This window comes from Homo sapiens, chromosome 3 (assembly GCF_000001405.40).
Source record: "Homo sapiens chromosome 3, GRCh38.p14 Primary Assembly".
Taxonomy (NCBI): Eukaryota; Metazoa; Chordata; class Mammalia; order Primates; family Hominidae; genus Homo; species Homo sapiens.
Window position 1 is genome coordinate 105,544,574 of NC_000003.12, and position 19,198 is coordinate 105,563,771.

Consider the following 19,198-nt stretch of genomic DNA (forward strand, 5'->3'; position numbering starts at 1 on the left):
TATTTATCTCTGCATCTCTCATCAGTGCTTGGGACTTAGTAGCTGTACAATAAATACTTGTTCAGTTGAGTTGGAATTTTCTCATACAGATCAGACTATGACAGTAAGATTTTTATAAAGATTGTTTTCCATCAACTGGATGAGAAATGGAATAGCACTTTTTAAAAATATCTGCTGCTATAGTAAATTCTCTCTGAAGAAACACAACTACTATCTCATGGTTTTTCAATTTATCACCTGCTGTCTAAAGATGCTTGATTTTCCAACATTTATGCCTTACTGTCTCTTTATATAATATTTACCTAGTCATCATCTTTATTTTCTTCCAGAAGTGACTTAAGATTTTTTTTTCTTAAGGTGATAGGCCCTAGGGGAATATTTATATCCCCTCAAAATATCAATCACGTTAACTGCAAATAAATGGATAATCAATTAGATTGACCACTCTCTTGTCTAAACTAGTCTCAAGGCTGGCTTGAAAAACTAGGCTAATCATGCTATAGTCCAATTATTTTAGTCATATAAATCAGTTCTGAATGTTCAAATGCAGTTAGAAGAAATTTATTTTCTTTCATCTTTTCTTCTCCAAAATATTTTGACTATCTTACATTTCAGAGTTAGCACTTTGAACAGATTTTCTGCTTCACAGATTTGGATTTGTCCTTAAACCCAAGTGGAGAAGTGACTAGACAGATTGGTGATGCCCTACCCGTGTCATGCACAATATCTGCTAGCAGGAATGCAACTGTGGTATGGATGAAAGTAAGTAATATTTTTGGTACTACCCTGCTGTTTGGTTTGATTTCTTTTTAGGTTTCTTATGCACTTTATATTGTATTCAAGTAGGTATATTCATGGATGTGTTTATATACCAGCTCTCTCTCTCTCTCTGTTTCTGATAAGAGAAATAAAATAACAATAAAATTTTAGAGGTGCTCAACACGGTGACATCCATAATTGGTATTCTGAAACTTAGTTTGGGGTGTTATGTCAATTATGTGTATATACTAATTATACACACACCACACGCATGTGTGCACATACAAACATAGTTATATACCACAGGGCTTAATAATTTACAGTGTGTTTTTGCCCACATTATCCTTACGTGATATTTACAACAACCCTGTGAAATACAAAGATTATTATTTTCCCCACATTCTTCATATAAAGAAATTGAAGGGAAATAAATCAGAAAGCTCATAACTGACAGAGTAGAGACTCAAGGCCAGACCTTACTGAGTATGAATACTATGCTTTGATAAGACACCTTTTGTCTCTCTGCTGCTGAGACCACTCTTAAGTTTCTGAAAACAGGTTCCACTGGATCAAGGGCTCCTAGAAAGCAATCCCTTTTATCCCTGAGCTATAGTAGAATACCTGGAACATAGTAGGAGTTAATTCAGTATTCCCTGAACAAGTGCTTATACTCTTGTAATTGTCTGAAATGTAGGCCATTGGCTATCCTTTTAGAGTAAGGAAGTGTGACTGATAATTGGTGATTTGAGACAAGGTTATCACCAAAGGAAAAGGTTGTGATTGCGATCCCTCCACTTAAACCCTTGGCTAGTATATCCAAACTCCCAGTGCATTTGTTACCAGAGCATGACATGTGACAAGAACCCTTAACCCATGATGGGTTCAGAAAACAACACATACCATTTGAAATAGGAGTTGACAAGAATTACCTTTATAAGAAACTGTGGAGAAATATTTTTCTAGAGTTTCTTTTTGATGGAAATATATTGATGAAATTATTTTGTATTGCTTTACTGCCTGCCTTTTGATCCTTTTTAACACTCGATCCTCTGCTACTTGTTGTCTTACTCTGTGAGCTCAGTTTCTTATTGTACTCTCTTTCAGCCACAGCCTCATCACAACTTGTTCACTAAAATAAAGTGCCACTTCCTATGCTGCAATCTAGCATGATATGTTTGTAGTAATCAGTGATCACAAGGCTAGACAAGTTCTAGGCAACTAGACTAATTCATAATCATTTGAACACTCATTGCATGTTTTACTATAGGACTAGAGAAACTAAGTTTACTGTGGTTTAAACTGTTTGTACAATCAACTGCAATCACTGTTATGAATTAACTGTCATGAACAGCTCATGTATTCAAAATAGTGATGATCAGTATTCCCTGATTATTGGTTAGTTAATGGGGAGTGGGAAAAAATATCCTAATGGACAAAGACCACATAATCTTAGGATTGTGTCTAGTTGCCTGCTTAGGAGCATTTCAATTCCTGACATAATAGGATTATTTTCTGTATATCAGGCTATTTTTTAAAATTAAATGATACATTTCCTTTGTTCATAGAAATTGGAATAGAACGCTTTCCAAATTATAAATTCAGTAAATGAAAGAGCGTGAAATAAAAATCTGACATGTCTGACTCTAAAACAACAAAAGAAAAAGGAAATCTATTTTGAAAGCATCTGAAGTTAAGAAAAAGAAGTTTGCATTTATATTATTCCCAGAAGAATTGTTTTAGGCTTAATTATTATCTAATAAATACACTGAGAATTTTAATTCTGCCACATGAGGTAATTTACTTTTTATTTAATCAGGATAACATCAGGCTTCGATCTAGCCCGTCATTTTCTAGTCTTCATTATCAGGATGCTGGAAACTATGTCTGCGAAACTGCTCTGCAGGAGGTTGAAGGACTAAAGAAAAGAGAGTCATTGACTCTCATTGTAGAAGGTAATAAAATACTTGGGCACTAATTCAAATTGTTCTTTGAGAATTTTTTACCTGGTTTCTTTTATGATCTCAGTTCAACATCTTATTTTAATTGTAATATTTCAGGCAAACCTCAAATAAAAATGACAAAGAAAACTGATCCCAGTGGACTATCTAAAACAATAATCTGCCATGTGGAAGGTTTTCCAAAGCCAGCCATTCAATGGACAATTACTGGCAGTGGAAGCGTCATAAACCAAGCAAGTATTTGTCTTCTTGTTATATGCTGCACTTCGTCCAATGCGTTTTTTTTCCTTCACGAACCTACCCTATAGGTTGGTTTGTTACCACATAAAATTTGCAGTGTGTAGGTTGGTTTGTTACCACATAGAATTTGCAGTACATGCTCAGAGGAAGCTTTTGCTAACTTCTTAATTTTCCTAGAGGAAGAACATGGCTCAAAGAGAAATTTTATCCCAGGGCCATGGAGAAGGGAAGAACCATTGTGTCATGGTCAGTATCTGTTTTTAAAAGAATATAAATTAGGTATTACTTCATGATCATTCATTCCTAAAATGTGAGTGATTAAAACATTAAGATATACACTTTCCTGCAAAATAAGCTCATGCATCTCAGTATAAGTGAACTCTAATACTGTGCTCAACTTATGCACATTAAGGGGTGTTACTTCTTAAAACTATGTCCTCGTGTAGGAATGGTGGAGAAGAACACAGTTACTGCTTATGAATGTGTGGTCTGACATGCCTATGCAGTGCTAGGGCCAGAATAAGGCAAGCTACATATATAGTGCCTAGGATGTGCCCTTCTGAACAAAAGGGTCATAAACCAGACCTTAATATTTGTACCTTTTTATTTTAGTAATAGTAAAGGGTTAAGGATTTGTTAACACTACCTGTTATTTTCTTTTACTATTAAGTCTTTGACCCTCCCCTTAAAGGAAAAATGAGAATCTGGCCTACCACTAGGGATTCAGAACTGTAATCCCAGTAATTTGCCAATCTGCTTGGGTTGCTGACATACTTGCTAATTCCATTGTTCTCTACAACAGTCTTCGTGTCTCCCTCTTCTCAGTATAATCTGTAAAGGCTTCTCAGGAGCACCCAGAGGTACCACTGGATTATTTAAATCTTCTGTACTTCTCAGATTTTGACCCAGTTGAAATTTGAGAAGACATATATAAAGCAAAGAGCTGTAAATTAATTTTAAGTTAAAATCTCCACTCTTCCTCTTTCTAGGGAAGTTGGGCCACTGTCCCAGCTTACGCCATGCAGTTTTGCAGTGCAAAGTGGATTTTGGCTCTTTCAACTATAGGTGATGCATATATAGCTGCATAACTCTAGATATGGAAAGCCCTCAAAAGAGTAGGCACACGTGAAGTGAATGACTCCTGATTTGGTTAAGTGTGATGGGGACACACAGTAAGAAAGCATATAAGAGGAGGCAAAGAAGCTCTGGGCTCCTCAAACCTAGGAAAATGCAGTTTTCTTGATTTGGAATAAAGACTTGAACCATCTAAATTGCTGACAATGTGCAGATCTATTTTTAGCATCAAAAATGGTGGTTTCTTTTCTACTCTATTGTTTTTGCTCTCTAGTTCAATTAAGTGATAACTGCAGCAAAAAAGAACCTTTAGGTACTGGTAATACAGACATAGAAAACAGAAACATAAGCAGACAGTAAGTTTTTGATTAATGAAAAGATATGAAGATTTAAAAGACCATCCTAGAAATGAGAAAATATATTTTGTAGAGTTTAAAGTAACAAAAACAAAGATTCCGTGAGAAAGTCAGATGAAAAATCCTAGTACGAAGTGAAAAAATAGCAGGTAAATTTACTGTGAGGATAAAAATAATAATGCCATCTTTCATTGTCAAGGAGAAAGATTGATTCTGGCCCACTGGGTGATATGTTATTTTTCTTGTTCTGGGATTTGTGCTGATGCATCCATAATCACAATTTTATTTGTTCCCTTCTCAGATACATGGTGAATCTGTTATTTTACAACTAGAAGATGTCTCTGCCCCTCCTCCACCCCAGCAACTAGAAGATAACCAAAACAGGAGAATAGCTCTTGTCCTCAAGGCACTTACCATGTAGTTGAGGAGAAAGCAAACAATATAGAAAGAGAAAAATGTAGGGAATGAGTTCATAAGATGACCGAGAAAAGAGTGCAAGTACATTATTTGCCTCAACCTTGTTGGGTTTAGGAGTCAAATCCTAGGGATGAGATTAAAGTAAATTGTATTTTATATTTGAAGGAATTAAATGCAGTGATTACCCTCATTAACACCTCACAAACATCAGAGGGACAGCAATCACTGAAAAATCATCCATCCTCTGTATTTACAACAGAAAACTTTAGAAAAAAATGGTTTCATGTACCCATGAGCAAATTATACATACATACATACTTTGATATAATGGTTTAAGATAAAGGAATTAATTCCCACAGTGAAGAACAGTGACTAAATTTATAAATAATTAAATTCATATATTTATTGGTGGAAAGTTGGTGTTTAAATAGTCACCAATTAATTATTTTGAAACAAGTATCATCAGGCCAAAATGTTGACTAAACCTGAGATTCTATTTAAAAAGAAGAGTTTAATTAACTTAATTATTAGAATTCACAAAAGAAACATAAACAGAAATTTCATTATGGATTTACTAATCTTTGTAGATATTGGCATACATGGGTCTTGATCTATGATCTTACATAGCTTTTGAACACCAGAATGCTCTATAGAGCACCACGCCTATCCTATTACAGTCATCATTACTCTTTCCTATGCTTTTTAATCCATTTTGATTTCTAAACCCACCTTTTTTCTTCTTTTTCCAGACAGAGGAATCTCCTTATATTAATGGCAGGTATTATAGTAAAATTATCATTTCCCCTGAAGAGAATGTTACATTAACTTGCACAGCAGAAAACCAACTGGAGAGAACAGTAAACTCCTTGAATGTCTCTGCTAGTGAGTATTTTATTTCTGGCATTACAAAAGTAAGAAAATTTGAAGTTATTCTTCATTAGTTTAAAATCTTCAATTCCATCTTCCTGTACTGCATTATGGTAAGTTTTATTTATTTATTTTGCATTTGGTATCATCATCATAAGGTTATTTTTTCTTTTTTCCTGTCCATTCTTGTACTATCCTTGTCTTGACAGTTAAATCATTTCATGTTTTATGGGTCAGAGGCCTTATCCTGTACAGGAATAGTTCCCAAAAGCAACAGAGAATAAAAAATAAGTTTCTCTTATTTAATTCATGTTTTATGTTCAGAGTGGAGATAATTCAAAGATCATCTTAAAACATTTTTGTAACAGTTTTAAATTTGGTAAATTTGTAATTCCCTTTGATCTATTATTTTGCCTTCTAATTCTTTGTGGTATTTATCCTACCCTTATGTTGTACTAGAATGCCACAAGCTTAAAGTCATTTAGTAAACTAGCAAGAGTGATTTTAGAATTCATGAATCTAGTTTACAAAACTGTTCCTTTTGTCATATCATATTTAAACTATAGCCGAAAATCAGATAAGTGAAACTATCTCAGAGAATGTGGAAAAATCTGTCGATGTTGAAATCAGGGTAATACATACATACCAACAACAGCTTCTTCAGAAAACAATTGTCATTTAATGTGAAATTGTCCATAATCTTCAATTCTATAGTTGTTCCTATTGTTTTGTCAACCTTAAATCAGGACTGGCCTAGAATGAGGCTCAGTTCTGGACAGGATGCTAACTGACCTGCCAAACTTTTATTCTTCATTCAGTTGGAAACCTGTATATGACATTAGCAGGCTAGGACTACACTAGCTGGGAATTAGCAAGAGCTAGGAGAAAATAATCATCAAAAAATAATGGTCCCTCACAGATTATGACTGGAATATAAAGGCCTAATGGATTGACAGGATAAAAGAACCAAACAAATTTAACTCTAAGATAGAAGCATTGACTTCTCAGAATGCAATTCAGTGAGTATTGATTTGTCCCACCTAGGAAGAGAACCTACCCTTTCTTCCTGAACACAAGTTTCTCTTTTTATGTTAACCCATTGAATGGTATGCTTCAGTTTTCTAGGCCTTGCAGTGACTTTATCAACATTTAATATAGTCGTTTTCAAATTCAGTGAGCACCTCCTGAGATGCCAATTTAGCATGTATGAGGAGAGGTCCGGGAATCTGCATTTTATCAAATGTCACTGGCAGTTCCGATGCATGCCCATGCACTTTGAAGTTTATTTATAGAGTTTAATATTAGATAATAATTCAACACAGTGGTAATTCTTAAAATGGACAAAGAGCATGGCATTATCAGAGTCATTTGGAGAGCTTTGCAAACATCATGTATGTTGCTTCTTAATCTCGGAGGTATCCCCAGTTTTAACCTCTACTCCTACTACTTTGAGAACATCTCTAGTGGTAAGTCCTTGACACTGGAGGATGACAATGAATTCTCCTATATCGGGCAGGAAAGTTGAGAAAAGTTGATAAACATCACACTGTAGACTTCCTAGGTGCCGACTTGCTTCCCTAAAAAAAGAATGACTATTAAAAGGTGGTGGATAGTGGGAAAATCAATATGGATTTCAGATTAATTCTATAGGTCATCAGTTATGAAATTTTCTATGGTAGATTAATATCTTTGCAGTTGTAGCTCCTCTCCTTAAAACAAGATTAATTTCTTTGTAGGCAAGGTCATACTTTATTAAGTGTGATTTTTTTTTTTTTACTGTTAGCTATAGAATAGACATTTTATCTTTGAGTATTATTACATCATACTATAATGGTAAAGGTGACTTTCATATATCAACAAATTTTGTTTTTAATTTCATATTAACATTTTTCATTTCAGTAAGTATTCCAGAACACGATGAGGCAGACGAGATAAGTGGTAGGTACTATGCTGCCGACTCTTCTTCCTTGACTATCAGCTCAAGATTTATGAAGTGTCATGGTATAAGTAATTTTCTTAGCTGTCCACAATTTTGACTTGAATTAAAATACCAAAGACAAGATAGTAAGAATGCTAAAATTTTACCCTTTAAAAATCACAAGTTTGCATGTTAATTACTGTAGTGAGCTTTAGTCATTTTTAATACAAAGTAATAGCTAGATTGACTTTCTGAAAATCCTTGGCATTGTCTGTAATTGCATGGACTTTTCTTCTTTGTTGCAGATGAAAACAGAGAAAAGGTGAATGACCAGGCAAAACTAATTGTGGGAATCGTTGTTGGTCTCCTCCTTGCTGCCCTTGTTGCTGGTGTCGTCTACTGGCTGTACATGAAGAAGTCAAAGTGAGTTGTGGAAAAAAGATCTTCATCGTTCATTGACTTTCACTGGGAGAAAATACAATGTGCTAATTTTGCTCACTCCAGTCGTGCATATAATTTATACAATAAGGAAGATGTATCCCCAAATCAGGTTGATTATATATTTTGTTTCAACTAATTTTGACTACACTGCCTTTGTCAGGGACATGGCTTGGGATACTGTTTCACATGTGTCCGTTTATTTGTCTCAATCAATAGCCTGAATTCAATTATTTGATTTTTTCAGTGCTTGAGTGAATTTTTTAAAGCGTATACTTCCTAAAGGTCAACAACCATAGACTTTTTGGTTGAAGTTGGAGAAGATTCATTAAAAGTACCTAGTACATCTTGTAGGGACTGCCAGGTGTCTTTGCAGTGACACATCTGGCCAGCAATGAAACTGCTGCTGAGGTAGGAATATCTTATTGTTATTACTCCCATATTCTAGTTAGTTGACTTTGATCCATATAAGAGTCTATATCAGAGAAAATCATGTCATTATGTCAACTTGAGTTTTTAAAAATGGATTAAAGTACCAACACTACATTAAAAATGCTTTAGAGATGTTAAACATTATTAGTTATATGATATTACAGATAGTATGAACCTTACAAATTATCTAACAGTGGTTTATAAGGAAAATCCGATGAACCAGCGAAGATTCTTAACATACACACATGTCTTATACTTCTCATCATCTCACTCCCAACCCTAGATTCAGATACCATTGATAGGGGTGGGGTTCCAGCATCTGCACTTTTAAAAAGTTTCACTGGTGATTCTGCGGCATGCTGCTAGTTTCAAACATGGGTTTTAAACCACCTTATCTTATAAATGTGTAAATTAAGTTTTGCAATGGGATGTCTATAGCTAGTGGAACTTTGGACTTAATTTTATATTATGTCTGATATGTCCCCTTTAAAAAATGTAAGAAAGTTGACTTAAAAGAGAATCAAAAGAAAAATCAGATTTAAATCAGGACCCATGATCTCACCTTGTAAAGATGCCAGTTCCAATGAAGCAATATTCAAATGGAGCTGCCATCCAAGGGAGGCAGAAGCTCTGAAATTTTGAAGTCACATAGCAGCATGAGCATGTATTGAGCTCATGTTCTCACAACACATCTATAAAGTACACACCATTATTATTCATATTTTACATTTTAAAAATCTGAGGCAGAGAATGGTTAAATGACTTGCCTAAGGTTACATAGTTTGTAGGGCACAGAATTGTTATTTGATTTAAGGCAGTGATGTTTTAGAATCTTTGTGTTGAAGGAGTAGACCATACTTTCTCTCACTTGCTTTATTTTGTGCCACATTAGGCAGAAACATTTCTCCTGTTGTGTGTTGTCACTGATGCACACGATGTCCACTCTCACATGATGGCACAACTGCTCCTCATCTTGGCCTTTCTCTCCTTAGTCTTAAGCAGCCCACACCAATACTTGGTATACGAGTCAGGATTCTCCAGAGAATCAAACCAGTAGAGGGTGTGTGTGTGTGTGTACAAAGAAAGTTTTATTATAAGAAATTGACTGACATGATTACGGAGGCTGAGAAGTACCAAAATCTGCAGGCAGGAAGCTGGAGACACAGTAGAGTTAATGTGTAGTTCCAGGCTATGTCCAAAAGCCTGAGAACCAGGAAGGTGTAAGTTCCAGTCTGAAACCCACATGGGCTAAAACCCAGGAAGAACTAATGTTTCAGTCCCAGACTGGAAGCAAGAAAAAATGTCCCAGTTCAAGTGGTCAAGTAAGAAGTTCCCTCTTACTAAGCCTTTTTTGTTCCATTCATATCTTCACTGATTAAATGAGGCCCACCCACATAGAGGAGGGCAATCTGCTTTACTTAGCCTACTGATTCGGTTCAAATATTAATCTCACCCAGAGATACCCTCACAGACACAGCCAGAATAATGTTTGACCAAATGTCTGTGTACCACATGACCCAGTCAAGTTGACACATAAAATTAACCACCACAACTTGGTAACCAATATGTTCTTTTTCTCAATGAACATTTTACCTATAAACACTTCACATGGGTTTGTGTCCATGGCATCTATAGAAAATTCGGAAGACCTGTGCTATGTAAGTGAAAGGAAAAGCAAACAGTTGCCCAGAGGCAACATCCATTTTATAGAAGTTCTCCTTCTGTGTGTACAGGTTTCCTGATATCAAATCTTATCCTCCCTTTATAATCCATGATAATTTACTCACAAATCCAACAGCTTGCGTTCTAGGGTATTTTCATTTTATTATGACTTCTGAATACTCCACAGTAATTTTACTTCTTAAAACAATGAAAATAAAATTTCCCTGTACCTTGAAAATTAGCTGGAAAAAAAAACTATAATTCTTTACATTAGGGTCAAATAAATGTTAAATTCTTGGAGCACCCCCAACATCCAGTATCTCATCAGACACCATTTGTCCCTCTATGAATAAAATAAATTTGTGTGTGTGTATGTGTTCTTTCCTTTGTTTCTTCATGTGGTAACCCCAAATTAAAATGATGGATAAATATATGCTGGACACTGACTTCATGGTGTCTTTAGGTGAGAGCCTCAAGCATTTCCTTTAAAATATTTCATTAAATTAAGCTCAACTTCTACCACCTGATCTGAACATTCATCTAAATAACTGTTACCTAATCGAAAAGTTCACCAACTCTGACAGAGTTGATATTATTGGTAATCAAAGTAATAAATTGCAATTCTCATCTGAAGCATCAAGGCTTTTTATTAAGAATTTGTGGAATACTTCAGATTTGCTGAGTGCTTTGCATTCCTGGTTAGTTATTCCTTGCTTGTGCCTTCTGAAATAAGCAGGCATTTTTGGAATATGAATTAGTCTTCTTAACCCTTCAAGCTGCTCATGCAGAGTAAGTTCAGATTCATAATAAGATCTTTCAAGTTAAGAATGTCTAACGCCATTTTTGTGATACAGCTAGCAAAGCAGTGAAATTTTAGCAACATTTAGCTAAGTTCTTTGCATTGATAATTTTAAAAGTCATTGGAGAAAGATAAGAGAAACAATCTTTTATTTCTAGTAAAATTTAAGAGTACATTTGCTAATATACCTAGTGGCTATTTAGCCAGCATTCACTCCTTATTCCACTAATAGAAGCTAAATATTTTTATTATAATTTTCAAAAATGGAAAACTGGAGCAAGAAAGACTTGGCAATTGTGTTCTTTTCCCATTGTGAAATGACATATTCATTTAGGAGTAAGGACTCATGACTTTTTTGCTGCTTTAATCCATATAACTTCCCAATGGAAGTTTTTTGTTAAAAAAAACTGAAGGTGCTTTGATGACGAGAATAGATGACTCTGATTTTTTTCCATGTATGTAGGGTATTAACTATCAGAGTCAGGAAAAGGCATTAATTAGTCCACCCTATATCTAGTTGTTTAACAGGTAGAAAAGCATTGAAGAACTAGAGATATTTCAGTGGTTACCTTCTACTATGTTTTCCATTTCTCTCATCCCTGTCCTCCAAACATGGTTTTTAGTTCTACAGGAAGTTAAATGTTACTATTTAAGATTCATTCCTATCTTGCATATCTCATAGTACAAGAACTAATGAAAAATTAAAAGAGCTGAAGTTAAAGGAAAAATGTAAAGGCAGAGTGATGTAGCCACAAACTTCTTCACAAGTATATTAGGACCATAATTTCAAGGTTGGTTGTATTTAAGAGACTCTGACCTCCATAATTCCTATAACTAAACTGGAAGCAAGTGTTAACCAAACATCTGTAATCTCAAAATAGTCATTGTGTAAATCTTGGAAACTTACTGAGAGATTTACCTTTTGCAGCTATGGAACTCAAGACTATTTTCATGAAAATTAGTGTGTAATATAGAAATAATCCGAAAATCTAAAAGTCAGAAATACCCTTTGTTAGTTCTGCCTTATACGATGCTTTATTATTCCAGTACTTTCTTGGAAGAAAACAGAGACAATCCTAAATTGGCTGAAGGGCTAAAGAGGACTTGCCTACAACACTGAAACCTCAATAAACAATGTTATGTTAACATTGTTAAAATTAACAATGTTAATTAAGCCTTTCTAGAATCCTTCCTGTTGGTGTCTCTTAATATATGGAACACGATCTTGCAAAAAAGTTGATTTTAACTGAATTCTATTTCCCAGTCAATACTCAGCTAAAAGCAAATATATGTTCTCAGAAGAGGGACTCCTCACTGAATAAATTGAAAAGATAGTGCTGGAGGACCACTTAAAGCACATTTTAAGTGACTTTTCTCATTTATCACTGCATGAGAACCTACCGTTTTTCTCTTTTTTTGGTTATTTTTTACTGAAATCCTCAACAATTTAATGAGGTACATACAATTAACCCCATTTTGTAGTATCTAAGTCTCAGTGGGAGTAACCTGCTCAAGATATCATAAGTAGTATCTTGTTCCAAATTCCATATAGTATTTTCAAATCTATTTTGCTGCCTTACCAGGCCTTTTTTGGAATTAAAATTTTAGCTCTGACTTTGATTGGCTACTGGCATTTAATTGGTACTATGGAGGAAAGGGTATGATCTTAAGGGCAGGCTGACACAGCCTCTCTCTCCACTTGTATGAGAAGTCAGACTAATTCAAACGTTGACTTCTCTCTTTTCTCTACCCATGACCTAGCAGGCTGCCAGAAGGAAGAAAAGAAAATACCTCACTATCTTATCAAACCATAAATAATAGAGGGGACTTGATGGGAAATAAAACAATGTGGAAATGCCAGAGTCTCCATCTAGTCAATCACAGGGTCACCGGCCACTCAGAGGGCAGCACCATCCATGGCCCTCTCCTCTTCTGCTGCATGTGACCTGAAAGTTTCCACAAGGAAGAAAGGGCTTGCATCAAAATATAATGTGTTCATATTTCAAAATCCCCTCTCTATATATTCGTTTCATTTTTTTAAAAAAGATCACACTTGTTTTAAATATATTTTCCAAAGGCTAAGGAACAAAAAAGTCCCATTCTCTGGCATGAGCCAGGCTGTATGTGTCCCATCATCTACCCTAAAGAAACATTTTGAGCTGTGATGCTGAGTGCATGCAGGTGGCTTCCTGTTTTCATGCACATTCAGTACAGTTGTGTTTTTTCTGATCCCTCAGCCTTTTACCTAATGGTTGTCGTATTCACTATTGACCTAGATGGAAAAGCCATTTTCTGTTTTCACTGAGGACACACGCATTCCCTATTTCTTTGTAGAGTCTTAGAAATTCTAAAGACATAAAATTTTCATGAGGAATTTCTTTGTAGAGTCTTAGAAATTCTAAGGTTATAAAATTGTAAGTTGTAGTAATAAGACCAACTATTTATTCTTCTCTATTTCCTTCTTCAATCAAGAAATTGCTCATAACTCTCAGTGGGGATTAGTGTCCTGCTGTCCTCCTCTAGTTTTTCATTAAACTTGGCCCAAGGGGAGACTCCTTCTACTGAGCTGTGACCAAAGAAGGGGAAAAAATAACCATACTCCTGGGCATGACCCTAACTACCTGCACAGGTATCAATGGCCGGTTTGCTGGAAGTGGTAACTCTACACTGCCAAGATGCCAGTCCTAAATACCAACAGCTGTGGTACCTTCTGTGGTGTGAGGCAGGGATGCTCACGGAAAACACTCCTCTAACTAGCAAGAAATAAGGATGCCTCACACCCGCTCTAAGAGAATTTTCAATTTGTTATACAAACTGAAAGCCTGCTTGGAAAACCTAAAATCTCATGTACTCCTTTATGTGTGAAATATTTTAAGTGAGTATTGCTTTGGTTTTCTAAATATAAAATTCTATTATAGTATTTTATTGGACTTTTCCAAATGATACCAGCCAGATTGTGATTTACTGGCTGCACCTACCACTGTCATCCCCTTCACTTGTCCTGCCTCCTCTATCCTCTCACTATGCTATTGTTCAGTTAAAGGCATACTTACGGGATACCCCCAAAGCAGTCCCCTACCCCTTTTGAGATTTCAAAACAAGTGTAGAATATTGGGAAAATCTCACCAAAAAAGGTCTTAAATCTTCTGAAAAGTTATTTGAAAGTAACTTTAGCCCTTTAAACGCACTGCGCTTAAGGGAAATTACACAGAATGAGGAGTTGAGACTTAGATTTAAACTCTCTTCTGCTGCTCTTGGCCATCAAGCTCCCTGACTCACCTTCAATTTGGTGAGTCCCTGCATGTAACCTGCCAGCTGCTTTCACATACACTATCACATTTATCCTCACACCAGCTCTACGAGGAAATCCTGTTGTTTCCCCTATTTATAGATGAACAAGCATGCTTAAGAGGAGGGGTTGTCTAAGATCTTGGAGCTCAGAATTAATACATGAGGATAAAAACCCAGGCTTGCAGACCCCAAGGCCAAGACCCCTCTCTGCCTTGCAGCTTAGACTAGAGGGTCACCTTTAGCACTTCTTCCCACGGTAACTTACTATGATCCTGTAATTTAAATTTTCTCTCATTTAAGGTTATTAAAAAGAGGCACCGATGAGGAAAATTTAAAATAAATAACCATCATAATTTATATTTTATAAATTGTAAAATAAATGTATATATATTATATATACATGTATACTTATATAATATATACATATATTACATATATACATGTATACATGTGTACGTATAACATATATATACATATTTATATATACATATACACATATATAATATATACATATATTATATATATACACATATATGTAATATATATGCTATTATAACAAAATACCATAAACGGGGTGGCTTTAAAAAAAAACAAAACAAATTTATTTTCCACAGTTCTGGAGACTGGGAATTTCAAGATCAAGGCACCAGCAGATCTAGTGTCTGGTAAGGACCCACTTTCTAGTTCATAGAGGTGCCTTCTTGCTGTAACTTCACATGATGGCAGGAGGCAAGAGAGCTCTCCAAAGTCCCTTTTAGGAGGGCACTAATCTCATTCGTAAGGGCTCCACCTTTACAATTTAATCATGTGATGGTCATATCATCTATTTCAGGGGGACACAAACATTCAGTATATAGCAGTGACTACTACTCCCTTCAAGATAAAGAGCATTACATCACCCCCAGAAAGTTCCCTTAGACTTCTTTTTTGTCCAGCCCCATCATCCCTGTCTCCTTAGGAAACCACTGGCTAATTGTTATGACCAGAGATTGTTTGCCTAATCTTGAACTTCATACAAATAGAATTATAGAAAAGGTACTCTTTTATAATGGGCTTCTTCCCCTTAACATGTTTTTGAGATTTATTCATGTTGTTACACCTATGAGTGGCTTCTTTTTTTATATTGCTGATAGTGTTTAATCATTAGAATATGCCATATCTTTAAAATCCATTCTCTTCTTGGACATTTGGATACTTTCCAGTTTGGGCTACTGCAAATAGTATGGCTAAAATAAACATTTTTATACAAGTGGTTTTTGCAGACATATGTTTCTATTCTCTTGGGTAAAAACCTAGGAGTGGAATTGCTTGATCTTCCAGCAGACATTTGTTTATGGGAAATAAACAAATAGTCATCCTGCTTACAACTCCCACCAGTCGCATATGAGAGTTTTAGTTCCTTCCCATCCTTGCCTAAATCTGGTGTTATTCTGTTGAATTTTAGCCATTCTAGGAGGTGTGAATTAATAACTAGTTTTGGTTTTAACTTATATTTCCTTGAGATCTAATAATTTTAAGCTCCATAAATGTATAGGCTATCTTATATCTTCCTTTGTGAAGCGACTATTCAAATCTTGTGCCTATGATTTTTATTGGTATTTGTCTTTCTGTAATTGATTTGTAAGAGTTCTTAACATATTTTGCATTAAAATCCTTTGACATATATAGATATATTTGAACATTTTTTCCCAGTCTGTAGCCTGGTTTTCCTGTTCTTAATGCTGTCTTTTGATAAGCAGAAATTATTCCTTTTGATGAAGAACAGCTATCAATTTTTCCTATTATGTTCGTGCTTTTTGTGTCTACTATATGAAATCTTTGCTTATCCCAAAATGGCAAAGGTATTTTCCTATGTTATCTCCTAGAAACTTCTAAACTTTGACATTGAAGGGTATGATCTATCTAAAATTTTGTGTCTAGTGTGAGATAAAGGTGGGATTTTGTTTGGTTTTTGGGTTTGCTGTATCTATTTATCAAGCCATTCCAGCACTTGTTAAAAGGACTTCCTTTCAGCCGTAACACATTTGTCAAAACTTAATTTACCATAATAGTATGAGACTTTCAACTGTGATAATCTTCTGGTTGTTTCAGAGGTCTTATTTCTTTGCATGTTCATATAAATTTTAGCAACTTGCTAATTTCTGTGCCACAAAAAGTTTTGTGGAATTAGCGTTGCTTTTAATGTACAAATGAATTTGGGTAGATTTGACAACTTACTAATATTTGGTCTTCAAATCCATGATCATATATCTCCTCATTTACTTGGCTCTTTTCAATTTTTTTCTGAGTAATATTTCAAATTTTAAATGTAGACATTTGATATGTCCTTAAAAGTTTATTCCTGTATGTTTATACATTTTGCAGCTATTATAAATACAATTAATTTTGTAATGTTTCCAATTGTTCCTAGTAGTATGTGAAAGTGTGATTAATTTTTCATGTTGAAATGTATACTGACATCTTACTAAATTACCTTGTTAGTAGTTATATTCGTTGTTTTGTGGATTCCTATGTAAACAATGATTGCATCTGCAAATGGAGATAATTTTACTCCTTCCCTTCTACTCTATATGCCATATATTTCTTTTGCTTGCTTTTTTGGCACTCATAGGCACCTCCAATACACGGCTGAATAGAAATGTTCAGAATGGACACCTTTGCGTGTTTCCAGTCTTAGAGGGGAAATTGCTCAATAGTTACCATTATGTACGATGTTAGCTGTATGTCCCTACCCAGAGTTAGTCAAACTGCAGAGTTAAGGGTATAATCCTCCAGATTACCTAGTCTGCCCAAGAATTCTGACTCCACCTGCAAGGAGTTAGGGTCCGACCACAAAGTAAGAGGGAAGAGTACACTCAAGATCACCCTTACTTCTGACACCAAATGCAAGTTTTGGTGTTTCCCAAAAGAATCCTCAGGTTTGATAATTCACTGGAAAGATTCACAGAACTTACTAAAATTTTTATATTCCTGATTATATTTATTACAAGAAAATGTTACATTAAAAATCAGCCAAGGGAAAAACAAATAGGGCAGAGTCTAAGAGGATTCCAAATGCGAAGTTTCCATTGTCCTCAGGAATACATTATTCTACCAGCATCGATGTGTAACAAAAGCATGGAGTATGGCCAACCTGAAAGGCTCACCCAAACTTTAGTGTCTACAGTTTTCACTAGGCATTATGACATAGGCATGATTAATTGGTTGAACTTAACCTCCAGCCTGTCTCCTCCTCAGGTCAGGCTGATATCACATAGCTCAAAGTTCCCTCCCTAAACTATGATTGGTCTTTCTAGTGTCATTATACCCCACCCTAAGACTGACTAGTGTAGAAGGCCCTGCCCTGAGACATCTCATTAGCATAAGCTATCAGGTGTAATTTAAGGGAGCAGCATAGATAAGAAAACCTGTGTAACTCATAAAATTCCAACTGTTTAGATGTTGCCTCCCAGAAACTGAAAACAAAGGTCAGATATCTCTTTGGATGAAGCAAATTCTTTACTACAAAGTATCCTTTATCAGGTTGAATAACTTTTTTACTATTCCTAGATTACCAGTAGTTTTTATCACAAATTGTTGGATTTTCTCAAATGTTCTTCTATATCTATTAAAATAATCATATTGTTTACTCTGTTAATATAGTAAATTACATTCATTGATTGTTGAATGGTAAGCCAGTCTTGCATTCTTGAAATACATCTTAGTCTATTATGATGTATCATAATTTTTATATATTGATGGATACTATTTACTGACATTTTATTAACAATTCTTTTGTCTATGTTCATGAGGAATATTGGTCTGTAATTTTGTTTTCTTATAACATTCCCATCAAGTTTTGGTACTAGAATAATGTGGATCTTATAAAATGGATCAATAAAAGGGCCCCATCCTCTTCTTTTTCCAAGTTTGTTAATTCGTTAAATATTTGATAGAATTCAATAATGAAACTAACTGGACCTTGAGTTTTCTTTATGAGAACTTGCTTCAAAACAAAATGTAAATTTTTAAATTAATTAATTCATTTTTTTTCTGTTTAAGACAGAGTTTCACTCTTGTTGCCCAGGCTGGAGCGCAATGTCACGATCTCAGCTCACTGCAACCTCCGCCTCCCAGGTTCAAATGATTTTCCTGCCTCAGCCTCCTGAGTAGCTGGGATTACAGGCATGCGCCACCACGCCTGGCTAATTTTTGTATTTTTAGTAGAGACGGGGTTTCTCCATGTTGGTCAGGCTTGTCTCAAACTTCCAACCTCAGGTGATCCGCCCTCCTTGGCCTCCTAAAGTGCTGGGATTACAGGCATGAGTCACAGCACCCAGCCAAATTTCAATTTATAGATACAGGGTTGATTCTTTTTGAATAAATTTTGGCAGGTTGCTCAATAATTTATCCATTTCATTTAAATTATTGACATTTTTGCAAAAAAAAAAAAAAGCCGGTAGAATTTTTTATCCCTTTTATGCCTATGGGTTCTATAGTGATAACCCTTTTTTGTTATCTGATATTGCTAATTTATTTTTTCTTTTATCTTTCTTAGTCTTTATAGGGTGTTATCAATTTTCAAAATGACCTCAAATAACTTTTTGCTTTTTTTATCTCTATTGCTTATTTTTTATGATTTTGCTCTTATCATTACTACTTTTTTCTTTACATTTCCACTTTTTCTCCTTTCTCTGATTTCTTGAAATAAAAATTTTGATTCTTAGTATTAGACTTTCTTCTTTTATAAGACAAGCATTGAAATTATAAATTCCTCTCAGCACTGTTACCTGTGTTCCACAAATATCGGTATGTTGTGTTTTCTTATTCATTCAGTGAATGTTTCCCTGTGGTTTCTTCCTTGAAGTCAAGTGACTAGACCTGTATGAAATTCCAAGCATTTCTTTTTTTTTTTTTTTTTTTTTTTTTTTTTTTGAGACGGAGTCTCGCTCTGTCGCCCAGGCCGGACTGCGGACTGCAGTGGCGCAATCTCGGCTCACTGCAAGCT

The 19,198-nt window shown here is 35.1% G+C and overlaps 1 protein-coding gene across 3 annotated transcripts in view; it reads left to right on the forward strand.

Annotated features, from left to right (window-relative positions):
* Window positions 1-19,198, forward strand: part of ALCAM (activated leukocyte cell adhesion molecule) — a 209,992-nt gene that overhangs the window by 177,665 nt on the left and 13,129 nt on the right. Inside the window, exons 9-14 of one of the 3 annotated variants that reach the window (NM_001627.4) lie at window positions 650-762; window positions 2,576-2,711; window positions 2,817-2,950; window positions 5,554-5,686; window positions 7,571-7,609; window positions 7,895-8,012. In NM_001627.4, coding sequence (NP_001618.2) covers window positions 650-762; window positions 2,576-2,711; window positions 2,817-2,950; window positions 5,554-5,686; window positions 7,571-7,609; window positions 7,895-8,012 — 673 coding nt within the window. Of the gene's footprint in view, window positions 1-649; window positions 763-2,575; window positions 2,712-2,816; window positions 2,951-5,553; window positions 5,687-7,570; window positions 7,610-7,894; window positions 8,599-19,198 lie in introns of those variants that run through there. The other 2 variants (NM_001243281.2, NM_001243280.2) reach the window with 2 other exon arrangements.